Raw genomic sequence first — 26147 nt, 5'->3', positions numbered from 1 at the left:
ATTTTATACTTTTTGTAAATTTGCATTTAAATTTTATTAACTTGAGAAATTGCACCGGATAAATATCTTGGAGGAGATTTTTTGAGATGACCAAAATATCCTATTTCTCCTCAAAATTCCACCTACTAATTTTAGCATCCATTGGTGGATCTTTCTTTTATGAGTATTACTGTCGAATGGTGATTTTCTATTTCCCTGTTTCTCTTTTTTTGAGACAGGGTCTTGCTCTGTTACCCAGGCTAGAGTGCAGTAATGCGATCTCAGTTCACTGTAGCCTCGACCTCCTGGGCTTAAGAGATCCTCCCACCTCAGCCTCCTAAGTAGCTGGGACTACAGGCTTGTGCCACCATGCCTGGCTAATTTTTGTATTTTTTGTAGAGATAGGGTTTCACTGTGTTGCCCAAGCTGGTCTCAAATGCCTGAGCTCAAGTGATCCTCCCATCTCAACCTCCCAAAATGCTGGGATTATAGGAGTGCACCATTGCATCCAGTCACCTTCTACATTTATTAAAATTCTTCTGGAAGGAAGATATGGTCATTTCTCCCCCATTTATTTATTTTTCAATTATTTATTTAAATCTGTGGTCTCTAGGCCAGGCACAGTGGCTCATGTCTGTAGTCCCAGCACTTTGGGAAGAGGTAGAGGCGGGAGGATCACTTGAGCTTAAGAGTTCAAGACCAGCCTGGGCAACATGACAAAACCCCATCTCTGTTAAAAAATAATAATAGGTTGTCGGCAAAGCTGAGTCCTGTCTTCTCGCCCTCCTCCCCGGACAGCGTGAGCTTCACCAGTCGCTCCACCTTCTCCACCAACTACTGGTCCCTGGGCTCTGTCCAGGTGCCAGCTATGGCGCCCAGCTGGTCAGCAGCATGGTCAGCGTCTCTGCAGTCGCTGGGGGCTCTGGTTCCCGGATCTCCGTGTCCCGCTCCACCAGCTTCCGGGGTGGCATGGGGTCCAGGGGCCTGGCCTCGGGGATGGCTGGGGGTCTGGCAGGAATGGGAGGCATCCAGAACAAGAAGGAGACCGTGCAAAGCCTGAACAACCACCTGGCCTCCTACCTGGACAGAGTGAGGAGCCTGGAGACCGAGAACTGGAGGCTGGAGAGCAAAATCTGGGAGCACCTGGAGAAGAAGGGACCCCAGGTCAGAGACTGGAGCCATTGCTTCAAGACCATCGAGGACCTGAGGGCTCAGATCTTCACAAATACTGTGGACAACGCCCGCATCGTTCTGCAGATCAACAATGCCCATCTTGCTGCTGATGACTTTAGAGTCAAGTATGAGACAGAGCTGGCCATGCGCCAGTCTGTGGAGAACGACACCATGGGCTCTGCAAGGTCATTGATGACACCAATGTCACTCAGCTGCAGCGAGAGACAGAGATTGAGGCTCTCAAGGAGGAGCTGCTCTTCACGAAGAAGAACCACGAAGAGGAAGTAAAAGGCCTACAAGCCCAGATTGCCAGCTCTGGGTTGACCGTGGAGGTAGATGCCCCCAAATCTCAGGACCTCACCAAGATCATGGCAGATATCCAAGCCCAATATGACAAGCTGGCTCAGAAGAACCAAGAGGAGCTGGACAAGTACTGGTCTCAGCAGATTGAGGAGAGCACCACAGTGGTCACCACGCAGTCCGTGGAGGTTGGAGCTGCTGAGATGATGCTCACAGAGCTGAGATGTACAGTCCAGTCCTTGGAGATCAAGCTGGACTCCGTGAGAAATCTGAAGCCCAGCTTGGAGAACAGCCTGAGGGAGGTGGAGGCCCGCTACACCCTGCAGATAGAGCAGCTCAGTGGGATCCTGCTGCACCTGGAGCTGGCACTGACTTGGGCAGAGGGACAGCCAGGCCCAGGATTACGAGACCCTGCTGAACATCAATGTCAAGCTGGAGGCTGAGATTGCCACCTACCGCCGCCTGCTGGAAGATGGCGAGGACTTCAATCTTGGTGATGCCCTGGACAGCAGCAACTCCATGCAAACCATCCAAAAACCACCACCCGCCGGATAGTGGATGGCAAAGTGGTGTCTGAGACCGATGACACCAAAGTTCTGAGACATTAAGCCAGCAGAAGCAGGGTACCCTTTGGGGAGCAGGAGGCCAATAAAAAGTTCAGAGGTATAATAATAATAATAATAATAATAATAATAATAATAATAATAATAATAAATTAAAAATCAATAAATAAACATATGGTCTCCTGTATATTCATTCTGTACTTTGGGTTACAATCCAATAACATACGATTTATTTTGTTGCTCAAATTGCTCTTGGTTTGCCCATTGAGAGCTCCTTCAAGTTGGCTTCTATGTTCCTTTGACAAGCTCCCGTTCTTTTTGGAGCATTTTCTTTCTTTCTTTTCTTTTCTTTTTTTCTTAATAACAAAAGATGTTCTAGGCTTATCTTATATTTTCCCTGTTCCAACCCTATAATCACCATCCACTTTTCTAAGGAGCACTGGTTCCTTTTATTGGAAAGTGGCACTTAGAAACCAAGATCTGGGTTCTGGCTTTGCTCATTGCTACTGAGATGTCATTTCTTCTAGGCCCTCTCAGAGGACAAAGCTATGAAATATGTATGTGTATACTAACTCTCACACACATACATCTCTATCTATAAAAAAAACCCCACAAGTTCATACTGATATCTCTGATTTCAACCCAACACCAAAGGTTCATTCTATCCTTCTATCTTTCCTATCTTTCCTTATTTGTAACTATTTTCTTTTTTTTCTTTTGAGACGGAGTCTCACTCTGTTGCCCAAGCTGGAGTGCAGTGGCACGATCTTGGCTCGCTGCAACCTCCGCCTCCCAAGTTCAAGAGATCCTCCCGCCTCAGCCCCCCAGTATGTGGGATTACAGGCACCTGCCACCACACCCAGCTAATTTTTGTATTTTTAGTAGAAGCAGGGTTTCGCCGTATTGGCCAGGCTGGTCTTGAACTCCTGACCTCAGGTGATCCACCCACCTCGGCCTCCCAAAGTGCTGGGATTACAGGCGTGAGCCACCTTGCCCAGCCATTTGTAACTATTTTCTTTGACAGTGATAAATCTTGTTCTCATTATCTATATTTATTTATTTGTTCAATCCTAGTATACATATACACTACTTGCAGAATTGCTAACCCACACCTCAGTGAGAAACAAATTTGCTAACTAGAGTACAGTATTTATATGGAGTTCTTTTTGTCTGTAGCCTTACAGAATACAGTTCAAATTCTATATTCCACAGTTACTTAAGTTAGGTCTTTTCTTTTCTGTCCCTTTGGTATGGTCTGTTATTCATTTGGAATACAGTTAGGTTTATTTGCTAGTGTTTGTATTCCATCTTGGGTTTCCCCAACAGTCTGGTTGGTTTTAATTGTTTCTTTATTTGGGGAGTATGTGAAATATTACTCTTGTTCCTGGAGTCAAACCTAAGCAAAAAGGTATACTCAGTAAAGTGTCACTTCCATACCTTCCTTCTTGTCACCCCAGTCCTACATACCCCCTGTAGGTAGCCAATCTCTTTAATTTCTGGTTTACCTTTGCTAGATTTCTTTTGCACATATGAGCAGAAATGTGTATCTTCCTATAACCTCTTCTTTCTTACGCGACCAGTAGCATGCCATGGATACGTTTTTGCACTTTGATTTATTTCCCCCTTAACTGTATATATGGAAATCACCCCATATCATCTCATAGAGATCTCATCCATTTTTACAGCTATATGGTACTCCATTGCTGGAGATGTCACAGTTTATTCAACCACTCTCCTATCTATGGACATTTAAGTTTTTTCCAATATTTTGTAATTATAAATAATGCTGCAACGAATAACCTTATAAATATGCATTTTCTTTCTTTTATTCTGAGACAGGGTCTCATTTTGTCACCCAGGCTGGAGTGAAGTGGCACGATCATTGCTCACTGCACACTTGACCTCCCAAGCAGTTCTCCCGCCTCAGCCTCCCAAAGTGCTGGGATTACAGGTGTGACCCACTGCACCCGGCCACGTATTTTTTATTTATCTTCAGGTAGATTCCAAGGAGAGGGATTACTGAGTCAAAAGGTAAATGCATTTGTAGCTTTCTTAGCTACTGTCAAATTCTCCTCCACAAGGGCTGCACCAGTTTGCATTCTCATCAGCAACGTAGGAAAATGTCTGTTGCCCCACAGCCTATGTGTTATGCAAATGCATGTGTTGTCATGCATTTTAGTCTTTGCCAATCTTATGGGTGAGAAACTGTATCTCGGTGTTGTTTTAATTTGCATTTCTCTAATTATGAGTTTGATTTTTTTCAAATGTATGGAGGCCCTTTTTATATCTTTTTGTGAATTATCTATTCATATCTTTCTCCCATTTTTCTATCCAGTTTTTAGTTCTTTGTTCCTCACATTTCTTAAAATAATCTTTTAATTTTAGAACAGTTTTAGAATTATGGAAAAATTGTGAACACAGTAGAAAGATTCCTATATCCTCACATCCAGTTCCCCATATTATTAACAATTTTACATTGACATGGTATATTTGTCACAATTAATGAACTACTGTTGATACATTATTATTAACTAAAAGACTATATTTCTTTCAGGTTGCCTTGGTTTTTACCTAATGTCCTTTTTTTGTTTGTTTGTTTTTTTGGTTTTGGGTTTTTTTTTTTTTGAGACAGAGTCTCACTCTGTCACCCAGGCTGGAGTGCAGTGGCACGATCTTGGCTCACTGCAACCTCTGCCTCCTGGGTTCAAGTGATTCTCCTGCCTCAGCCTCCCGAGTAGCTGGGACTACAGGCGTGCGCCACAATGCCTGGCTAATTTTTCTATTTTTAGTAGAGATGGGGTTTTGCCATGTTGGCCAGGCTGGTCTCTAACTCCTGACCTCAAGTGATCCGCCCTCCTCAGCCTCCCAAAATGCTGGGATTAGAGGCATGAACAACCACGCCCGGCTACCTAATGTCCTTTTTTGGTTCCAGGATACCACCTTTAGTTGTCATGTCTCCTTAGGTTCGTCTTGGTTATGACAGTTTGTATTAGACTATTCTCACACTGTTAAGAAGAAATACCCGAGACTGAGTAATTTATAAAGGAAACAGGTTTAGTTGACTCACAGTTCTGCATTGCTGGGGAGGCCTCAGGAAACTTACAATCATGGTAGAAGGCAAAAGAGAAGCAGGCACCTTCTTCACAGGGTGGCAGGATGGAGTGAGTGCAAGCAGTGGAAATGCCAGACACTTATAAAACCATCAGATCTCGTGAGAACTCACTCACTATCACGAGAATAGCATGAGGGAAACCACCCCCATGATCCAATTACCTCCATCTGATCCTACCCTTGACACATGAGGATTATGGGAATTACAATTTAAGATGAGATTTGGGTGGGGACACAAAACCAAACCGTATCACAGTTTCTCACACTCTCCCTGTTCTTGATGATGCTGACAGTTTTGAGCACTGTTCAGGTATTTTATAGAATGACCTTCAGCTCGGATTTGTCTGATGTTTTTATTATAGTTAGACTGGGGTAATGAGCTTCTGCAAGGAAGACCACAGAGGTAAAGCGTCATTCTCATCACATATCTGGGGTACATACTATCAGCATGAATTATCACTGTTGATGTTAATCTTCACCACGTAGCTTGAGGTAGTGTTTGTCAGGTTTCTTCACTATAAAATTATTCCTTTCCCCCACCTCCCTTTCCATGCTCTACTTTTCAAAAGAAAGTCACAACGTGCAGCCCACATTTAAGGAGTGGGGTGTTACGTACCACTTCCTTAAGGGAGGATTATCTACATAAATTATTTGAAATTGTTCTGCACTAGATACTCATTTTTCTCCCGCATTTATTTATTTATTTAATCATCTATTTGTATAAGTATGGACTTATGGATATTTTATACTTTGAGTTCTAATCCAATACTACTTTACTTTTTTTTTTTTCTCAAATTGTTCCAGCTTTGGCCATTGGGAACTCTTTCAGTTGGTTCCTGTGTTCCTTTGACATACCCTGATCATGTGTGTGTGTGTGTGTGTGTGTGTGTGTGTGTGTGTGTGTGTGTGTTTGAGCACTTCCTTATTTACTGGCATTAGAAGATGCTTCAGGCTCATCTTGCGTATTTCCTGAAGATCAGCCATTTCTCCAAGTATCCCTGGTTCCTTTTACTGGAGAATAGTATTAGAAATCAAGTTTTGGCTGCTAGATATAATTGTTCCTACTGGGGTGTCATTGCTTGTAGACCCTCTCAGCTGATAGACAAGGAGATAGGTGTATGTATACTGATCCATGCATACCCACATATCTATATATATTTCTATGTGTAACCATTTGTATCTCTATTAAGCTAAACACAAATTTATACTGATGTGTCCAACTTGAATCCATTATCCAATGGATAATTCTAGCTTCCTCCCCTTGTTTCACTATAACTCCTACTCCAACAATGAGAATCCTAGCCACTCATTTACCCAATTCTTCAATTCCAGTATATATGTATAGTGATATCACAATGGTTAACCTGTACCCCATGGGAAACAACTTCACAGACTAGAGGATAGTGCTTGTGTGTATCTTCTTTTGCCTTTAGTTTTGCAGATTCCATTCATTTCCAAATTTACTTATGAGGTAGGAGATCAACAAGACTTTTCACAACCCTCCTTATCTAAACAGGATTTACAAAGAAGCCAGCCCAAACCAATCAGTACCAAGATGTCCACGAAAGCAACCTCTAGTTACCCTCACTGCTTATTTGCATTGGCATGTCACTCCCACCAGTGCCATGACAGTTTACAAATGCTGCCATGGCAACGACCCAGCAGTTACCTTATATGATTCTGGGAACTCCCCGCCCCTTTCCCAGAAAGTTTGTGAATAACCCACCCCTTATTTAGCATATAATTGAGTGTGGGTATAAATAGAGCTAGCCAGCAATCCAAGAGTGCTACTCTGGGCCACTCTGCCTATAAGATAGCCCTGTTCTGTCTATGGAGCAGCCATTTTGCTGTACGACGTTGCTCTAATAAACTTGCTTTCTTCACTGTTGGCTCCCTCTTGAAATCTTCCCTAAGTGAAGCCAAGAACCCTCCCAGGCTGAGCCCCAGTTTTGGGGTCTGCCTGCATTACTTAGGTCAGCACTTTTCTCCCACCCTGCATTCAGTGAGGTTGTTGCATACATTTATAATACAGTTGCATTGTTTCATCACATTCTGCTTTCCACCCTGAAATCCCCTGACCTCCTAAATGACTTTAGAAACTTCGCACATGTTAAGATTCCTCTGTGCTGTAAAGTTCTATAGGTTTTGACAAATGCATAGTTGTGAATTCACTGTTAGAGTATTATATATAGTTGCTGTATATACCTTCGTCATCCTAAAAAAATCCCCTCTGCTTTACCTAGTCACCTCTCCCTCCTTCTTTTGGAGCCCCTGGCAACAACTGATCTTTTTACTGTCTCTATAATTTTGGCTTTTATAGAATGTCATATAGTTGGAAGCATATAGGATATAGCCTTTTCAGACTGACATCTTTTACTTAATAATATGCATTTAAGATTCATCTATGTTGGCCGGGCGCGGTGGCTGATGCCTGTAATCCCAGCACTTTGGGAGGCCGAGGCAGGTGGATCATGAGGTCAGGAGATCAAGACCATCCTGGCTAACACAGAGAAACCCGGTCTCTACTAAAAATACAAAAAAATTAGCTGGGCGCAGTGGCGGGCGCCTGTAGTCCCAGCTACTAGAGAGGCTGAGGCAGGAGAATGGCCAGAACCCAGGAGGCAGAGCTTGCAGTGAAGCAAGATCGCGCCACTGCACTCCAGCCTGGGTGAAAGAGCGAGACTCCGTGTCAAAAAAAAAAGATTCATCTATGTCTTTCCATGAGAACTGCAGAACTCAGCCAGGCACAGTGGCTCATGCTTATAATCCCAGCACTTTGGGAGGCTGAGGTGGGCAGATCACCTGAGGTCAGGAGTTCGAACCAGCCTGACTGACATGGTGAAACCCTGTCTCTACTAAACTACAAAAATTGGCTGAGCGTGGTGGCGGACACCTGTAATCCCAGCTACTCGGGAGGCTGAGGCAAAAGAATCGCTTGAACCCTGGAGGTGGAGGTTGCAGTGAGCCAAGATCATGCCATTGCACTCCAGCCTGGGCAACAGAGCAACACTCCATCTGAAAAGGAAAGAAAAAAGGAAAGGGGAGGGGAGGGGAGGGGAAGGGAGGGGAGGGGATTGCAGAACTCTTGGCATATAACAACCCATCTAAACCCCTGCATTAAGAGATTTGACCATAAGAATATATCCTTAGAATGACCTCAGACCTTGTTAAAATGCCTGTCTGAGAAAGCTCAAGCTGCCTGGAGAACTTACTGTCTATTTTAGCCAATATCTCATGATAAGCCTCTGACCTCCCTTTCTTAAAGCATTTACTAGAAACAGCTTACAACTGCGAATATGTATCTCTTATAACTCAGAAGCGTTTCTCTCAAGGACCTGAGAGCCATTCCTTTGAAATGTAATCATCAGGAACATTTCATGATGTTGGGGCCTCTGTCTCCCACTCTCTGAGGGAGGATAGAACAAACACAGCTGGCCTAATTGCACTGACCAACGCTTTGTAATTTTTCACTTCTCTGATTCTACAGAGGCCCGCTCTCCTTGATCCCTCATTCTCCCTTTAAAACATCCAAATCACCTCTGCACAGATCAGAATGGAGCTCAGCTCTTTCCCCTGCTGTCAGTAGTTACTGAATAAAATCTGTTTTCACTGCTCTAACTGTGTTTATCATCAACACAGTTGATGTCTGGCTGTGTTTATCATCAACAATAGTGCATTTCCTTTTATTGCTGAAGAATATTCCATTTTATGGATGTACTGTAGTTTACCCATTCACCAATCAAAGGACATCTTGGTTGCTTCCAGTGTTTAGCTATTATGAATAAAGCTGCTATAAACATTCACGTGCAGGATTTTGTGTGGAGGTAAGTTTCAGATCAGTTGCATAATTACCTATGAGTGTGATTGCTGGCTGGAAGGTATGGTAAGCTATATATATGGTAAGCTTATAAGAAACTGCCAAACTGTATTCCAAAGTGACTATACCATTTTGCATTCCCACTAACAATGAATCAGTTGCTTACTTAGCATTTGGTAGTGTCGGTTTTTTGGATTTTAGCTATTAGAATAAGTGTGTAGTGATTGCTCATTGTCGTTTTAATTTGTGATTCCCTAAAAACAAATGAGGTTGGCCGGGCACGGTGGCTCACACCTGTAATCCCAGCACTTTGGAAGGCTGAGGTGGGTGGATCACCTGAGGTCAGGCGTTCATGACCAGCCTGACCAATATGGTGAAACCCCATCTCTACTAAAAATACAAAAATTAGATGGGTGTGGTGGCGGGTGCCTGCAGTCCCAGCTGAGGCTGAGACAGGAGAATTGCTTGAACCCGGGAGGCAGAGGTTCCAGTGAGCCGAGATCGCGCCACTGCACTCCAGCCTGGGGGACAGAGCGAGACTCCATCTCAAAAAAAAAAAAAAAATGAGGTTAAGAATTATTATGTGCCTATTTGCTATCCGTGTATATTCTTTAGTGAGATATCTGTTCAGATCTTTGTCCATTATTAAACGGGTTGTTTGTTTTCTTACTGTTGAATTTTAAGAGTTATTTGTATATTTTTTGATATAAGTCCTTTATCAGAAATGTAATTTGCAATTATTTCTTCTCAGTCTGTGGCTTCTCTTTTTATTCTTTTAGTAGTGTCTTTGGTATAGCAGTAGGTGTTACTTTTAATAAAGTCCAACTCGGGCAGGGCCTGGTGGCTCACGCCTGTAATTCCAGCACTTTAGGAGGCAAAGGCAGGCGGATCATGAGGTCAAGAGGTCGAGACCATCCTGGCCAACATGGTGAAACCTCGTCTCTACTAAAAATACAAAAATTAGCTGGGCATGATGGCGCATGCCTGTAGTCCCAGCTACTCGGGAGGCTGAGGCAGGAGAATCACTTGAACCCAGGAGGCAGAGGTTGCAGTGAGTCGAGCTCGTGCCACTGCACTCCAGTCTGTCAACAGAGCGAGACTCCGTCTCAATAAATAAATAAATAAATAAACAAACAAAAGAAATAAAGTCCAACTTATTTTTTCTTTCATGAATCATGCTTTTAATGTTGTGTCTAAAAACTCATCGCCAAATCCAAGCTCACGTTGATTTTCTCTTATATTTTCCTCTACATATTTTATAGTTTTATGTTTCGCATTTAGGTCTATGTGTTTTTTTTTTTTTTTTGAGATAGAGTCTCACTCTGTCGCCCAGGCTGGAGTGCAGTGGTGCAATCTCAGCTCACTGCAAACTCCGCCTTCCGGACTCCAGCAAGCCTCCCACCTCAGCCTCCTGAGTAGCTGGGACCAGAAGTGCATGCATTTTTGTGTTTTTAGTAGAGGTGGGGTTTCGCCATATTGGCCAGGCTGGTTTCGAACTCCCGAATTCAAGCGATCCACCTGCCTTAGCCTTCCCAAAATGCTGGGATTATGGGCATGAGCCACTGTGCCAGGCCCTATGATTCATTTTGAGTTAATTTTTTGGAAGGTGTAAGGTCTGTGTGTAGGTTTTTTGTTGTTGTTGTTTTCATATAAAGTACAATTTTTATTTTTCTTTTTCTTTTTTTTTTTTTTTGAGACGGAGTCTCACTCTGTCACCCAGGCTGGAGTGCAGTGGCACGATCTCAGCTCACTGCAAGCTCAGCCTCCCAGGTTCATGCTATTCTCCTGCCTCAGCCTCCCCAGTAGCTGGGACTACAGGCACCCGCCACTGCGCCCAGCTAATTTTTTGTATTTTTTAGTAGAGACGGTGTTTCACCATGTTAGCCAGGATGGTCTCCATCTCCTGACCTCGTGATCCGCCCTGGGCAACAAAATTAGCTCCTCTAATTTTTAAAAATATTAGAAAAAAATAGGCACGGTGGCTCACGCCTGTAATCCCAGCACTTTGGGAGGCTGAGGTGGGCAGATCACGAGGTCAGGAGATTGAGACCATCCTGGTCAACACGGTGAAACCCCGTCTCTACTAAAAATACAAAAAAATTAGCTGGACGTGGTGGCAGGTGCCTGTAGTCCCAGGTACTCAGGAGGCTGAGGCAGGAGAATGGGGTGAACCCGGGAGACGGAGCTTGCAGTGAACCGAGATCGCGCCACTGTACACCAGCCTGGGCAACACAGCAAGACTCCATTTCAAAAAAAAAAAAAAAGGGAAGAATGCAACTGACTTTCATATATTAACCTTGCATTCTGTGACCTTTCTATACTGGCTTCCAGCTAGTTGGACTGAGGAAAAGGAAAAAGGGACAAAGATCATATGCTAGATGTGTTTTAAGCAACATTCTCAGAAGCTGCCACTAGATACTTTAACTTACAACCCATTGGCCACACTGGAAAATGTAGTGTATATTCAGGCACTGGAAAATGTAGTGTATACTCAGGCACTGGAAAATGTAGTCTATGTAGCCATGTGCCCCGCGATTACTATGGAAAAGGGGAAACAGATAGTTTCTGCCACAAGGAGTTAATACTGCCTAGTTCTTTAGGGGGCATCCATGGGTCTCTCTTTGCTTCCTGTCCTACATACCATACTGCAGAGTATATTTGTGTACTTTCTCATGTTCTGTTCCCCAACACATCCTGCATTTTCCCACCTTTGCTGTAGTTCAGAGTTTGGCAAACTGTGACCCACAGCTCAAACTTAGCCTGCCACCTGTTTTTGGAATACAGCCACACCCATTCATTTAGAATTCGCTATTAATGTTGTCAAAGTCAAAATAAAAATGCAGAAACAAATATCTGAAATTAACTGTTTTATTTGTGAAGACAGAACTGCAATCTGGGGCATACACACAGCCTGGGTGGTCTTTGGTATGTCCAAAGAACAGAGAGGAGGTTGGAGTTTTTTTTTTTTAAAGGAGAAACGCATTGCTCTTTGAGAAAGTTCATTGGCACCAGTAAGGTTCTGGGGAACTGCTGGCAAGCTCTGGTTGGTGAGCAACAGTCGTGGGTAAAGTTGGTCCTAGAGTTATGGCAAGTTAGTTCAGTAGTTATAGATACAACTGTTATCAAGTTACAACAGGCAGTTTCTGCAACGGGACTTGCAGAGAATTACATTTCTGGAACAATGTTATGTGTCCAGAATGCTTCCCCACCACCACCACCACAACCACCACGCTGCCACAGACACTGCTTGGCCTACAAAACTCAAAACCCTTTATCTCTGGCCACTTACACAAAGGGTTTGCCAAGCCTTGAGCCTAGCTGCTCCCCACAGCCCTTCTAACTCCATCTTTCACACAGATTAACAGGATTAATTTTATTTCAAAAGACAGAGGAGAAAGCCTGGATATCCACACTAGGGAATGGTCAAGTAAACTATGATGCAGCTACATAAAGCCGCCATTTAAAAAGTTGTTAAGAAAAACATTGGCTAAAATGTCAAATTCTTCATACTATTTGGTGATTTCTATTTAGGGTGTTAATAAACAACAGCCCCTTTCCCTTTCACAATGTGGAATGAATTGAGAAACAGAGACAGGCAGACAGATGGAGAGGAGGATGATTAGAGAAAGTGGTTTTAGACACCTGCCCCACTAGTCTCACTAATTCAGCACTCCTGGATTAGAGAACATGTCTAGTCTACCAGATGTCTGAGGGCAGAAAGCAATCCCCACCCAAGTGAATGGTCTGAGTATGTGTGGTTCCTTTACATACCCCCTCCATCAGATGCTCCCTCCTTCTCTTTTAGGAAGACACTGCAAGAAGGATCAGCCTCCCATCTTTCTGGGGGAAACCTGCATTAGAACCTCATAAAGCAGCCTGTACAGCTTGAGCTCACATTCGTAACAAAGTAAGTATTTATGGATAGAAAAAAGATGAAGGATATATACACGTATATCAACAGTGGTTATTTCTGGATGGTGGGAATTCCAGGAGATTTTTGTTTTGATTTCTTTGTTTACCAGTATTTTACTCAAGTTGCTATAAGGAATTGATGCTGCTTCTGTCAGGGGGTGGGAGAAGTTATTTAAAAAAAAAAAAAAACAAATAACCCCCAACCAACCTTCAAAACCAACTGTCACAGCCTCCTGGAGGCCTTCGTGGATTTCTCCTCTCACTCCCTGTATTAGTCTGTTTTCACACTGCTGATAAAGACATACCTGAGGCTGGGCAATTTACAAAAGAAAGAGTTTTATTGGACTTACAGTTCCACGTGGCTGGGGAGGCCTCATAATCATGGTGGAAGGTGAAAGGCACGTCTCACATGGCGGCAGACAAGAGAAAGAATGAGAGCCAAGTGAAACAGCTTTCCCCTTACTATCAGATTTCGTGAGACTTATTCACTACCAGGAAAACAGTATGCGGGAAACTGCCCTCATGATTCAATTATCTCCCACCAGGTCCCTCCATAACATGTGGGAATTATGGGAGTACAATTCAAGATGAGATTTGGGTGGGGACACAGACCCAAACCATATCACTCCCTTTTCCTATGTCTCCTCTGTCTCACCTTCAATTTCCCTTCCTGCTGTTTTTTCTGTCTCCATAGCTGACTGAGAAATCTCTTTTGGCTGTAAGAGAGTTAGTAGTAGGAAGAAGTGGGGTTTTAAGAGCAGAGTCCCTGCATTCAAGTTCTGGCCTCACTACTTCGCCCTTTGTTGTTAAATGCAATAGCACTTACCCTCCCTGCCACCTAGCACCTGGTACAGTGCCTGGCACAGTGTAGATGCTCGAGCAATGGACTGAACTGAGAGAAGTGGTGAGGAGCAAGGAAGACAAGAAAGCTATGGCTGTGACAGTGTTTTGTAGAATTTGGGAATAAAGATTCATTTCCATCATCTCCCACCCCTACAGTGAGGGGCAGGGCTGGCTCACTCCCAGAGCCTCCAGCTGATAGGTATCCTGCAGGTGTCTGAAGGTGGGTTTGGCTAACAAACCATCCTCCTCATTTATACTGGCCCATGGTCAGGGCTTCAGGTGTTGCCTGCAGAGAAGTCCCCCAGATGCAGCCCCTTGCTCCAGAAGTCAATCTGCTTGGCCCTGTGGGGGGACCAGGCTGCTCCTTCTGGGCCCCACTTCTTCTGCCTGGGTCTCGGCAGAGGCTTCTGTCCATGGCCTGGTGCTGTGTGTGTGACACCCCAGCCCACCTCAGCAGGATGCTGGAAGAATTCTTTAACCCCTCCTGGAGAACTGAAAAGAACATTTGCTGAGCACTGTCAGATGCCTTCCCTCAAGGGACAAGGGGTTTCTCCATTTGCCCTACAAAGAAACCGAAACTCATGGAGGTTATGTGATTTTGTGAAGGTCACACAGCCAGAGCCAGAGCTCAAAATGGGGTCTCTCAGCTCCCAGCTTAGGGCTATTTATAAAACTGAGCCACTTCTCTTTGGGATGGAGAAAGACGTTTGTAGCTTGAAGTGAACAAGGTGGAACTCTCATTCCATCGCACCTTTTGGGAGTGAATGAGGCAGGCAAGTTGCTGGGGGAGGGTGGCAGGCTCCCCAGACTGGGAGGGAAGTCGAGTCAGAGTGGTGAGTGTTTCTTCAAGCATTTACCAAGGAGCCAGCCATTCGCTAGGCACAGGGGGAGCTAGAGGCAAGCTGGTTAGAAATGTGGTTAAGAACAACTGCTTTGTGGGAAGACAGAGCTGCGTTTCAGTCCCCTCTTGCTGTGTGATTTTGGGCAAGTGACTCAATCTCTCTGAGCCTCAGTTTTCATCTCTATAGAGTAGAAATTATAGCACCTACCTCATGAGGTAAAGCTCTTGGGAGAAAAGCTGGCACAGGGCAAGCTGCTGTGAATGGTAGCTGTTAGTTATTTCTATTACTGTTATGCCCGGTAGGGGAGACATTAACTGACCAACAATTACCGCCCAGTGCGATGTGTGCCACGGCTGAGGGAAGAATCATGGAGACGGTGATGGCTAATTTGATGTGTCAACTTGACTAGGCTAAGAGCTGCCCAGATTGCTGGTAAAACATTATTTCTGGTGTGTCTGTTTCCAGAAGAGATCAGCATTTAAAGCAGTAGACTGAGTAAAGAAATCTGCCCTCACCAGTGCAGGTAAGTATCTTTCAATGTGCTGAGGGTCTAACAGAACCAAAAGGTGGAGGAAGGGCAAATTTGCTGCCTGTGCTTGAGCTGGGACACCCACCTTCCCTTGCCCTCTGATGTCAGAGCTCCTGGTACTGGAACTTACACTACTGACTTTCCTGGACCCCCAGCTTGCAGATGGAGGATTATGGAACTTCTCAGCCTTCATAACTGTGGAGCTAATCCCTCACAATAAATCTCTTCCGGTACATCTACATAAAGTCTATTGGTTCTGTTTCTGTTGGAACCTTGACTAATACAGGGACACAGAAGAGGGAAGGGGGAGAGGGGACTCATGAGCCAAGCCTTGAGGAGCAGTTGCCTTCTCCAGGTATAGAAGTGGATAGGAGTCCCGCCACACATGCTTGCATGTGCACATCCTCAGGCTCCTGTCATTGGGTGGGTGGGACAAATGGTCCTGTGACATCTGCCTGGGCTTGAGCTCAGCTCAAACCACTCAGAAGAGTTACTGCCCAGAGTTCTTGGGAGAATTCCAAGGCTGAAGGCACTGTCTCCTTCCAACAGAGATGAGCCCATTCCAAACACTTAGGGCTTGGGTCTCAAGATGATCTCAAGAGCCTTCTCCTTTATCTTCTCTCCTTCCTCCTGCTCCTTTTCTTCCTTCTGAAAGGGGCCCAAGAATCCCATAGACAGTTGTTTTTGGATAAACATAGAAATTGACCATTCTGCTGTTAAAGATTGAAACTTACATTTGTTTTATCTGAGTTCCTTCCTCAGGAAAGGACCTTCAGGCCTCTCACAAAAAGTATCAAAGAACTGAAACCAGGTGACTGAACTAGGTGCCTGACCCCTCATTCACCATGATTGCCTCCTTGCCCCTCCCAAGTTCCTGTTTTCTTACACATTGTTACATTTCTTGCCTGCTATACCAACCGCTGGTTTTAGTCAGTCAGGAAAATAGATTTGAGACTGAGCTTCCATCTCCTCAGCTGTAGCACTTGATTAAAGGCTTCTTCCTTGGCAATACTTGTCTCAGTAATTGATTTCTGTGCAGCAAGCAGCAGGACCTAGACCAAACCCCTGGTATTTTGGTAACACTTCCTTCTTCCCTCTCCCCTCCTCTTTTATTCCTTCCTCCCCTCTTACCTCTCTCCCTCCTTCCCTCTCTCCCTTCCTCCTTCCTCTCTCCCTCTCTCTCTCCTTCCCTCCCTCCCTTTACTTCTTCCCTCCCTTCCTGTATTTGTCATAAAGGTCAACAACCCCCTCTTATTTATTGCCAGAGACTGTTGAACCCTCCTAAAGAAGTGAACTATATTGGTAGATCCGACAACTCTAGAAAGGAATCACCAGGCCCAAAAGAAATCACAACCGGAGATTCCATAACATTTATAGCAAGGAGTGTCCTGGTGTCCAGTCACTAAATGCTTTCATTCTGGGTTTAAACAAAGATATGGAATACACAGTCCAGACATTTCTGAAAACAGTACTGCCTCTCTAATGCCATGGAACATGGATCCAGTGAGGTACTGCATCCTTGGAAACTTTTATTAAGGAAATTTTGATATATACCCAGTTAGACAATAATATAGCAAATCACCCAGCTTCCACTGTTACCAACATTAGCCAATCTTGCTTCGTCTCTCCCTCTTCCACATTTTTCTGCTGCTCAAGTGCTTCAAAACAAATCCCAGACACAAGTAATCACTTCAGCCCCCATTGCCAATGTATGACTTTGTTTGTTTTGAGATGAAATCTCACTCTATCACCCAGGCTGGAGTACAGTGGCACAATCTCGGCTCACTGCAACCTCTGCCTGCCAGGTTTAAGTGATTCTTGTGCCTCAGCCTCCCCAGTAACTGGAACCACAGGCGTGCTCCACCACACCGGCTAATTTTTGTATTTTTAGTAGAAACGGGGTTTCACCATGTTGGCCAGCCTGGTCTTGAACTCCTGACCTAAGGTGATCTGCCCACCTTGGCCTCTCAAAGTGCTGGGATTATAGGCATGAGCCACCATGCCCAGCCTGTTTTTTACATACCACCATGCCATTTTCATACGTAACAAAAATAAAAATAATTCCTTAAATAACTCAATGCCCTATATTCAGTGTTCAGATTGTGTCAAAGCTGTCTATTTGCAATTTGTTTGTAAGATGAGTATTCACAAAATTTCCTGAATTTCCCCCTCCTTCCTGTCCCTGGCCCATCTCAGCCCCAGGCAGGACAGAGGACTGTCTGCCTCCTGTCTCTGTTTTAGAGTAGCCTTGGCCCCACTCGAGTCAGGCCTCCTATAGTGCAGCTCTTGTCTGAGTGTTCCTGCTTAAACCTCTCCAGGGATTCTCCAGGATTTCTCTCAACAACGAAGCTCCCAAACTTCATTCATTCACATACCACTTCCAGAACATTTGCCACATCTATAACCACTTGTATTATTTATTACATATTTTAATATTTAAGGTTTTTGTTTGTTTGTTTGTTTTGAGACAGAGTCTCACTCTATCACCCAGGCTGGAGTGCAGTGGTGTGATCTCGGCTCGCTGCAACCTCCACCTCCCAGGTTCAAGTGATTCTCCTGCCTCAGCCTCCTGAGTAGCTGGGGAGCATGCACCACCATGCCCAGCTAATTTTTGTATTTTTACTAGAGACAGAGTTTCAACATGTTGGCCAGGCTGGTCTCAAACTCCTGACCTCAGGTAATCCACCTGCCTCGGCCTCCCAAAGTGCTGGGATTACAGGTGTGAGCCAGTGCACCCAGGAATATTTAAGGTTTTAAAATTACTTTATTGTAGGGACCAGCCCCACAGGGTTGGTGGGTTTCACCCCGTGTGTGGAGACGAGAGAGTGTAGAAGTAAAGACACAAGACAAAGAGACAAAAGAAAAGACAGCTGGGCCCAGGGAACCACTACCACCAAGTCACGGAGACTGGTAGTGGCCCCAAATGCCGGGCTGCGCTGTTATTTATTGGATACAAGACAAAAGGGGCAGGGTAAAGAGTGTAAGTCATCTCCAATGGTAGGTAAAGCCACGTGGGTCACGTGTCCACCAGACAGGGGGCCCTTCCCTGCCTGGCAGCCAAGGCAGAGAGAGAGAGAGAGAGACGGAGAGAGAGAGACAGCTTACGCCATTATTTCTGCATATCAGAGACTTTTAGTACTTTCACTAATTTTGCTACTGCTATCTAGAAGGCAGAGCCAGGTGTACAGGATGGAACATGAAGGCGGATTAGGAGCATGACCACTGAAGCACAGCATCACAGAGAGATGGTTAGGCCTCCGGATAACTGCGGGCGAGCCTGACTAATGTCAGGCCCTCCACAAGAAGTGGAGGAGTAGAGGCTTCTCTAAACTACCCCAGGGAAAGGGAGACTCCCTTTCCCGGTCTGCTAAGCATCATGTGTTCTTCCTTGACACTTACGCTACCGCTAGACCATGGTCCGCCTGGCAACGGGCGTTTTCCCAGATGCTGGTATTACCGCTAGACCAAGGAGCCCTTCTGGTGGTCCTGTCTGGGCATAACAGAAGGCTCGCACTCTTGTCTTCTGGTCACTCCTCACTGTGTCCCCTCAGCTCCTATCTCTGTATGGCCTGGTTTTTCCTAGGTTATGATTATAGAGCAAGGATTATTATAATATTGGAATAAAGAGTAATTGCTACAAACTAATGATTAATGATATTCATATATAATCATATCTAAGATCTATATCTAGTATAACTATTCTTGTTTTATATTTTATTATACTGGAACAGCTCATGTCCTTGGTCTCTTGCCTCGGCACCTGGGTGGCTTGCCGCCCACACATTATAACTTTTTAACTCACATCTTAAAAAAATTTTTCTTTTTTAATAATAATTACTATTTCATCTTCAACTTTTATTTTAAGTTCAGGGGTACATGTGCAGGATGTGCAGGTTTGTTACATAGGTAAACGTGTGCCATGGTGGTTTGCTGCGCAGATCATCCCATCACCCAGGTATTAAGCCCAGCATCCATTAGCTATTCTTCCTGATGTTCTCCCTCTCCCTGCCAACAAGCGAAATAATTTATTTTTAAAGGAAACTTTATGTTACTACCCAAGACAGAAACCCAGTATTATCTGCCGTAAATTGAAAATAACTATTAAAAAAGACAAAATACCAGGAAAGTGGAACAAGGTTATTATTACATTCTAATTAGATAGCATTGTCTGCTGAAAATTAGAGTGTGTCTCCACAGAGATACATTCTAATACTTTATTAAAAGTGAGCATGGGCTCAAAATGGGCAAGGCATGTTAAAAACACATTAACAGTACACAGAGACTTTCTCCTAGATGTAATAAGTCACCAATATGCAGTTTAAGTGAGCTAAGTTAATGTAACAACCCAATAAGGTAGGTACGATTGCTATCCCCATTTTATGGATGAGGAAACCAGAGCTCAGAGAGGTTAAGTAACTTTCTTGAGGTCAAACAGCTGGTAAGTCACAGTCAGGATCCAAATCCATGCTGTCTGGTTCCAGAGTCATAAACACCATGTTATTCTTAATCAGAAGGGCCCAGACACGTTGAAAATGGAACTTGTTTCTGATTATGTGATTCAGTATTATTGGTGCTAGCTATGATTATCTCCTGAACCACCAGGAATTAGAGGGGCTGACTTGGGGACACCCACTCCTATGGAGTAACCTCTAAGTCCCTTTCATAACCAACTCCTCTCGCCTCAGCTTCCCATCTCAGCTGGGACTGCAGGTACACACCACCACTCCAGGCTAATGTTTTTTGAATTTTTTGTAGAGGCAGGGTCTTGCTATGTTGCCCAGGATGGTCTTGAACTCTTGGCCAGAATCAATCCTTTTGCCTTGGCCTCCCAAAGTGTTGGGATTACAGGTGTGAGCCCCTGCACCCTGTCCCAGCCTCATTTTATTACCCCTCCACTCACCTCCTGCTCCAGAAGGTGGAGCCTTTTTAACTTGTTTAACTAAGGGTGGCTCCTGTTGAGAGGTGACAGCGTGTTGGCAGCCCTCGCAGCCCTCGCTTGCTCTTGGTGCCTCCTCAGCCTCGGCGCCCACTCTGGCCGCACTTGAGGAGCCCTTCAGCCCGCTGCTGCACTGTGGGAGTCCCTTCCTGGGATGGCCGAGGCCGGAGCCGGCTCCCTCAGCCTTCCGGGAGGTATGGAGAGAAAGGCACGGGCGGGAACCGGGGCTGCACGCAGCACTTGAGGGCCGGCTACAGTTCCGGGTGGGCTTGGGCTTGGTAGGCCCCGCACTTGGAGAGGCCCCGCCAGTCCCGGGCAGTGAGGGGCTTAGCACCCGGGACAGCAGCTGTGGAGGGTGCGCCGGGTACCCCAGCAATGCCAGCCTACTGGCGCTGCACTCGATTTCTCGCAGGGCCTTAGCTGCCTCCCTGAGAGGCAGGGATCAGGACCTGCAGTGCGCCTTGCCTGTGCCTCGCCAGGCCGCGCCCCCCCGCCCCCCCCGCCCCCCCCGCCCCGCCCCGGCCCCGGCCCCGGCCCGCCCTGCCCCGCCCCGCCCCGCCATGGGCTCCTGCAGGGCCGAGCCTCCCCAATGAGCGCTGCCCCCTGCTCCACGGCGCCCGGTCCCATCGACCGCCCAAGGGCTGAGGACTGTGGGAGCACTGCGCGGGACTGGCAGGCAGCTCCACCTGCGGCCCCCGGTGCGGGATCCACTGGGTGAAGCCAGCTGGGCTCGTGAGTCTAGTGTGGACTTGGAGAACCTTTATGTCTAGCTAAGGGATTGTAAATAACACCAATCAGCACTCTGTATCTAGCTCAGGTTTGTAAACACACCAATCAGCACCCTGTGTCTAGCTCAGGGTTTGTGGATGCACCAGTCGGCACTCTGTATCTAGCTAATCTGGTGGGGACTTGGAGAATCTTTATGTCTAGCTAAGGGATTGTGAATACACCAATCGGCACTCTGTGTCTAGCTCAGGGATTGTAAATGCACCAATCAGCACCCTGTCAAAACGGACCAATCGGCTCTCTGTAAAATGACCAATCAGCAGGATGTGAGTGGGGCCACATAAGAGAATAAAAGCAGGCTGCCCCAGCCAGCAGTGGTAACCCGCTGGGGTCACCTTTCACACTGTGGAAGCTTTGTTGTTTTGCTCTTTGGGTCCACGCTGGCTTTATGTAGTTGTAACACTCACCACGAAGGTCTGCAGGCTCACTTCTGAGGCCAGCATAGACCACGAACCCACTGGGAGGAACGAACAACTCCAGACGCGTCGCCTTAAGAGCTATAACACTCACCGCGAAGGTCTGCAGCTTCATTCCTGAGCCAGCGAGACCGTGAACCCACCAGAAGGAAGAAACTCCGAACACGCCGCCTTTAAGAACTGTAACACTGCGAGGGTCTGTGGCTTCATTCTTGAAGTCAGTGAGACCAAGAACCCACCAATTCCAGACACACTGTGGTCTCTGGCTGAGGGGCAATGATGGTCCTTAGTGTTCCATTCTGCTCTTGAGTCCGTAACTATGACACTTCCACAAGTTTTGCTTCCTGGACAAGCTATAAGGGGTGTGGAGACAGGAGCTGCACCATATTCCTCCCTAAAAGCTCCAGCTGTATGCTGGACACAAACTAGCCCCAGTAGGTCCTCAAGGTGAGACCAGGCCTTTGACCCTCCTTGCCTCTTTGTTAAGTCCAGTAGTGCTGGGTGGTGAATCAGCCCTAGTCATCCTGTTTTCCCGTCCCCTTGGAGACCACCTTCTGGGGCCCCTGCTCAGAGCAGTGGAGTTCAGAGGAGTCTTGCCCATGCTGCTTTTGCCCTGCGAATGGAGAGCATTTCTATCTAGCCAGGCCTGTAGGGACCCAGGGCTCAGATAAACTCCCATCTGATGGGTACGTTACTTCATTTCTCTCTTCACCCCAATTCTCTAATCTGTGGGTAAAACAGACCCTAAGGACCTCAGAGCTCATACTTGACCGTAGAGAAGGTGAACCGAAGCTCCTGACCTGCTACTTCCTCTCATCTCTTCTATCGATGCCACAGTCGCCTGGGAAAGAGGACATCTCCCGCCCTCACCATGGTTGTCCCCACTTGCTCTTCTCCAAGGAGAGCCTTTTCCCCCCTGCTGTCCTGGAGGCCAAATTTTTATTCCTCTGACCCATTGAATACATCTGATGACTCTATAGTCCTTCCCCTATAAAAGCCAGTATCAGGGCTGACAGGAAGGCACTGAAAAAATTTGGCAACTGACCCCCCAACTTTTACCACTAAATCATTGTGACCTCAAGCAAGTTACTTAACCTCCCCAGCTTCAAGGTGTCCCACAAAATTCATTCTCTAGTAGCTGCTCCAGGGTCAGATCTTCCCTCACCTGGAGGAAAGTGCATATTTTCTGGACATAGGGTCCTTTTTGGAGACTGGCCCTTCCCCAGGCGCAGACATCTCTCTCCCTTGTCTGGCTTCAGCAAGCTCAACTAGAGCTGTGGCTGTGTGGTGAGCATCCATCCAGGATGAGAGGGTAGGGAAAGGGAAGATCTCTCGTTCCACAAGGTGGCCTGATCACTAGGCCGAGGGTCAGGAGGAGATCTGGGTCCTGGTCCCCCCTCTGCCCCTAAACTCCTTGTGCATTTGTGGGAAAGTCCTTTTACCCTCTAGACCTGTGTTTCTGCATCTGTGAACTGTCCTCAAGAATGCCTGTCCAGCTGGCCTCTCAGAGTCCTGTGAACTAGACAAGGGAATGACTGTTCAGCAGTGTCAGAGGGTGGCCGATGGACTGGAGAAAATATTTGCAAACCACATAGCTGACAAAAGGTTACTATCTGCTATATATAAATAATCCTTTTTTTTTTTTTTTGAGATGGAGTCTCGCTGTGTCGCCCAGGCTGGAGTGCAGTGGCACAATCTCGGCTCACTGCAAGCTCCACCTCCTGGGTTCATGCCATTCTCCTGCCTCAGCCCCCCGAGTAGCTGGGACTACAGGCACCTGCCACCACGCCTGGCTAATTTTCTGTATTTTTAGTAGAGATGGGGTTTCACTGTGTTAGCCAGGATGGTCTCGATCTCCTGACCTCGTGATCCGCCCTCCTCGGCCTCCCAAAGTGCTGGGATTACAGGTGTGAGCCACCGTGCCCGGCCCTGTATATGAATATTTATAGCAGTTTTATTCATAATAGACCCAAACTGGAAACAATCAGATGCCCCTCACTGGGTAAATGGCCAACAAACAGTTGCCTATCCACACCATAGAATCTGAACATCCACGCTACTCTGCAATAACAAGGAACAAGCTGGCCAGGCACAGTGGCTCATGCCTGTAATCCCAGCACTTTGGGAGACTGAAGTGGGAGGATTGCTTGAGCCCAGGAGCTTAAGACCAGCCTGAACAACATGGCAAAACCCTCTTTCTACTAAAAATACCAAAAAATTAGCCGGGCGCAGGTGGTGCACACCTGTAATCCCAGCTACTCAGTAGTCTAAGGTGGGAGAATCGCTTGAACGCGGGAGGTGGAGGTTGCAGTGAGCAGAGATGGTGCCCACTGCACTTCAGCCTGGGCAACAGTGCAAGACCATGTCTCAGAAAGAAAGAGGCTGGGCGCAGTGGTTCACGCCTATAATCCCAGCACTTTGGGAGGCGGGCAGATGACGAGGTCAGGAGATCGAGACCATTCTGATTAACACGGTGAAACCCAGTCTCTACTAAAAACACAAAAAATTAGCTGGGCGTGGTGGCAGGCGCCTGTAGTCCCAGCTACTCAGGAGGCTGAGGCAGGAGAATGGCGTGAACCCAGGATGTGGGGAGCTTGGAGTGAGCCGAGATCACGCCACTGCACTCCAGCCTGGGCAACAGAGCGAGACTCCGTCTCAAAAAAAAAAAAAAAAAAAGTAATCAAACAGCCATTTTTCTTTAGAACCCAAAGCAACCATTTAGTGGACCTTCTTGTCTCTCTTCAAACGGATCTCCAGCGATGGTTTGTTTGTATTGCTGCCCTCCAGTGATTGTCAAACTGGGTTCTCTGGCACCCCTGGGCTCTTCGTTGGCACCCCAAGGGCTGCCTGCAAGGCCAAGGTGATGTTGGTGTTCCCATCGACAGCCCATGGCTCCTACTTCAACCAGAAAAAAAAAAATCCACTTTGATCAGATAAGATTTCTTAAATTTTATTTGTCAAAAGGATTTTTCTGCTTAAAACAATAAGATTGTTGAGTACAAATCACTAGTTTTGCACAAATCAGAATGAGCTAGGATTGACTTTTCCTCTACTCCCTCTTTATTTTTTAAAAAAATTTAACTTCAGGCCAGGCGCGGTGGCTCATGCCTGTAATCCCAGCACTTTAGGAGGCCAAGGGAGGTGGATTACTTGAGGTCGGGAGTTCAAGACCAGACTGGCTTGTCTCTGCTAAAAATACAAAAATTAGCCAGGCATGGTGGCAGGTGCCTGTAATCCCAGCTACTCGGGAGGCTGAGGCAGGAGAATTGCTTGAACCTGGGAGGCGGAGGTTGCAGTGAGCCGAGATTGCGCCACTGCACTCCACCCTGGGCAATAGAGTGAGACTCTGTCTCAAAAAAAAACAAAAAACAAAACTTAAATATTAAAATATGTAAACCTGCCTCCTGGGTTTAACTTTAAGTTAATTTTAACTTTAAATTTAACTTTAGTCCTTGCCTTTTAAAGTAGGTGCAGGGACACAGGCATCTGAGGGTTAGGAGAGCCCTCAGGTAACGAGATCCAACTTTCTGCCTTCAGCCAAGGCAAGCTTTCATTATGCCCATTTTACAGGTGAAACAACTGAAGCCTGGAGGCCCAGGATGAGTAAGGCTTAATCTAGTTTAGGAATCTTTTAAGCTCCATCTCAAATGGCATCAGCTACGGCCACTGTTTCTCTAAGACCATAGATTGCAAGGATTCCAACGTGGACCAGAAGCTAACACTTCAAACATGGATTTAAGTGGCACGTGCAGGAGCTTCCAAATCTGTGAGTTAACTTGGAGTTTCTCCATGAAGGCATAGAAAGAGACCCAGGTTTCCAGTCAGGGAGACCTGAGTGAAGATCCTGACGCAGCCACTTCCCAGCCACGTGACCTTGAGCACATCATTTAACCTTTCTGAACCTCATTTTTCTCATCCATGAAATGGACACAATACTCTCCAATTTAGAGTTAATTTAATAGATGCTTTAAGATGACTAAGACAGGTGCTGCCCTCACAGACATCTTTCTGGTGACTAAAAATTCATGTAGCCGGGCACGGCAGCTCACACCTGTAATACCAACACTTTGGGAGGCTGAGGCGGGTGGATTATCTGAGGTCAGGAGTTCAAGACCAGCCTGGCCAACATGGTGAGACCCCCGTCTCTACTAAAAATACAAAAATTAGCCAGGTGTGGTGGGTGCCTGTAATCCCAGCTACTTGGGAGGCTGAGGCAGGATAATCACTTGAAGCCGGGAGATGGAGGCTGCAGTGAGCCGAAATCACGCCACTGTACTTCAGCCTGGGCGACAGAGTGAGACTCTGTCTCAAAAAAATTAAATAAAAATAAAAATAAACCTCATGTAAAGAACCAGGCTCCTGGGTGCTCATAGTAGGTAAACATTCTTTTCTCCATACACCTACAGGGCATCATTCTCAGACCTAGGAAGTCACTGGGGAGTTCCAATCAGCCTGAAGGATCCCACAGCCTCATCACAAGAACACCAAGGTATAGCAGGGGCTGACGTGTGCCAGGCGCTGCCTTGACCACTTTATATAAATATTCTCACCATGGATAGGGGCTGTGTCCCGCCATTTTTATGGATGGGGAGACTGAGGCTGAGCTGTCTAACTTGTCTCCAGAACACCCATGCCTGCTGAGTCAGGCAGGCCCCCGCTTGCAGTTCTGGAATTCAGGGAAGCTGGATGCCATGCTCAGCTGCTGAGCTGGCTCCCCCGGGCTGTCAGCTGTGCTCACAGGACAGTAGGAGGTTGTCCTATGAATCACCCCCTACACACAGGGCAATGAGGTCACCTCAGGATGGAGTTGAGCTGGGGCCTGCCTTACACTTCTGGCAGCTCTATCATGTCCCCTGAGATCTGCCCACAGCAAAGAGGTAGGAAACGCCCTGAGGTTCATCCATCCTGTACCAGGTACACACACAACCAGATGCTGTAGG

General features: G+C 46.2%; 1 protein-coding gene and 1 pseudogene across 1 annotated transcript in view; both read left to right on the top strand.

Moving 5' to 3' along the window:
* KRT18P17 (keratin 18 pseudogene 17) lies at positions 730-2115 on the top strand (annotated as a pseudogene).
* TMEM40 (transmembrane protein 40) overlaps positions 19993-26147 on the top strand; it is a 35930-nt gene continuing 29775 nt past the window's right edge. Inside the window, exon 1 of the mRNA NM_001284406.2 lies at positions 19993-20199. Coding sequence (NP_001271335.1) covers positions 20160-20199 — 40 coding nt within the window. The 5' untranslated portion in view covers positions 19993-20159. The remainder of the gene's footprint in view (positions 20200-26147) is intronic.

Source organism: Homo sapiens, chromosome 3, assembly GCF_000001405.40.
Source record: "Homo sapiens chromosome 3, GRCh38.p14 Primary Assembly".
In the NCBI taxonomy this organism is placed as follows: Eukaryota; Metazoa; Chordata; class Mammalia; order Primates; family Hominidae; genus Homo; species Homo sapiens.
The sequence above is the reverse complement of the archived record's forward strand: the minus strand, read 5'-3'. Positions and strand labels throughout refer to the sequence as shown.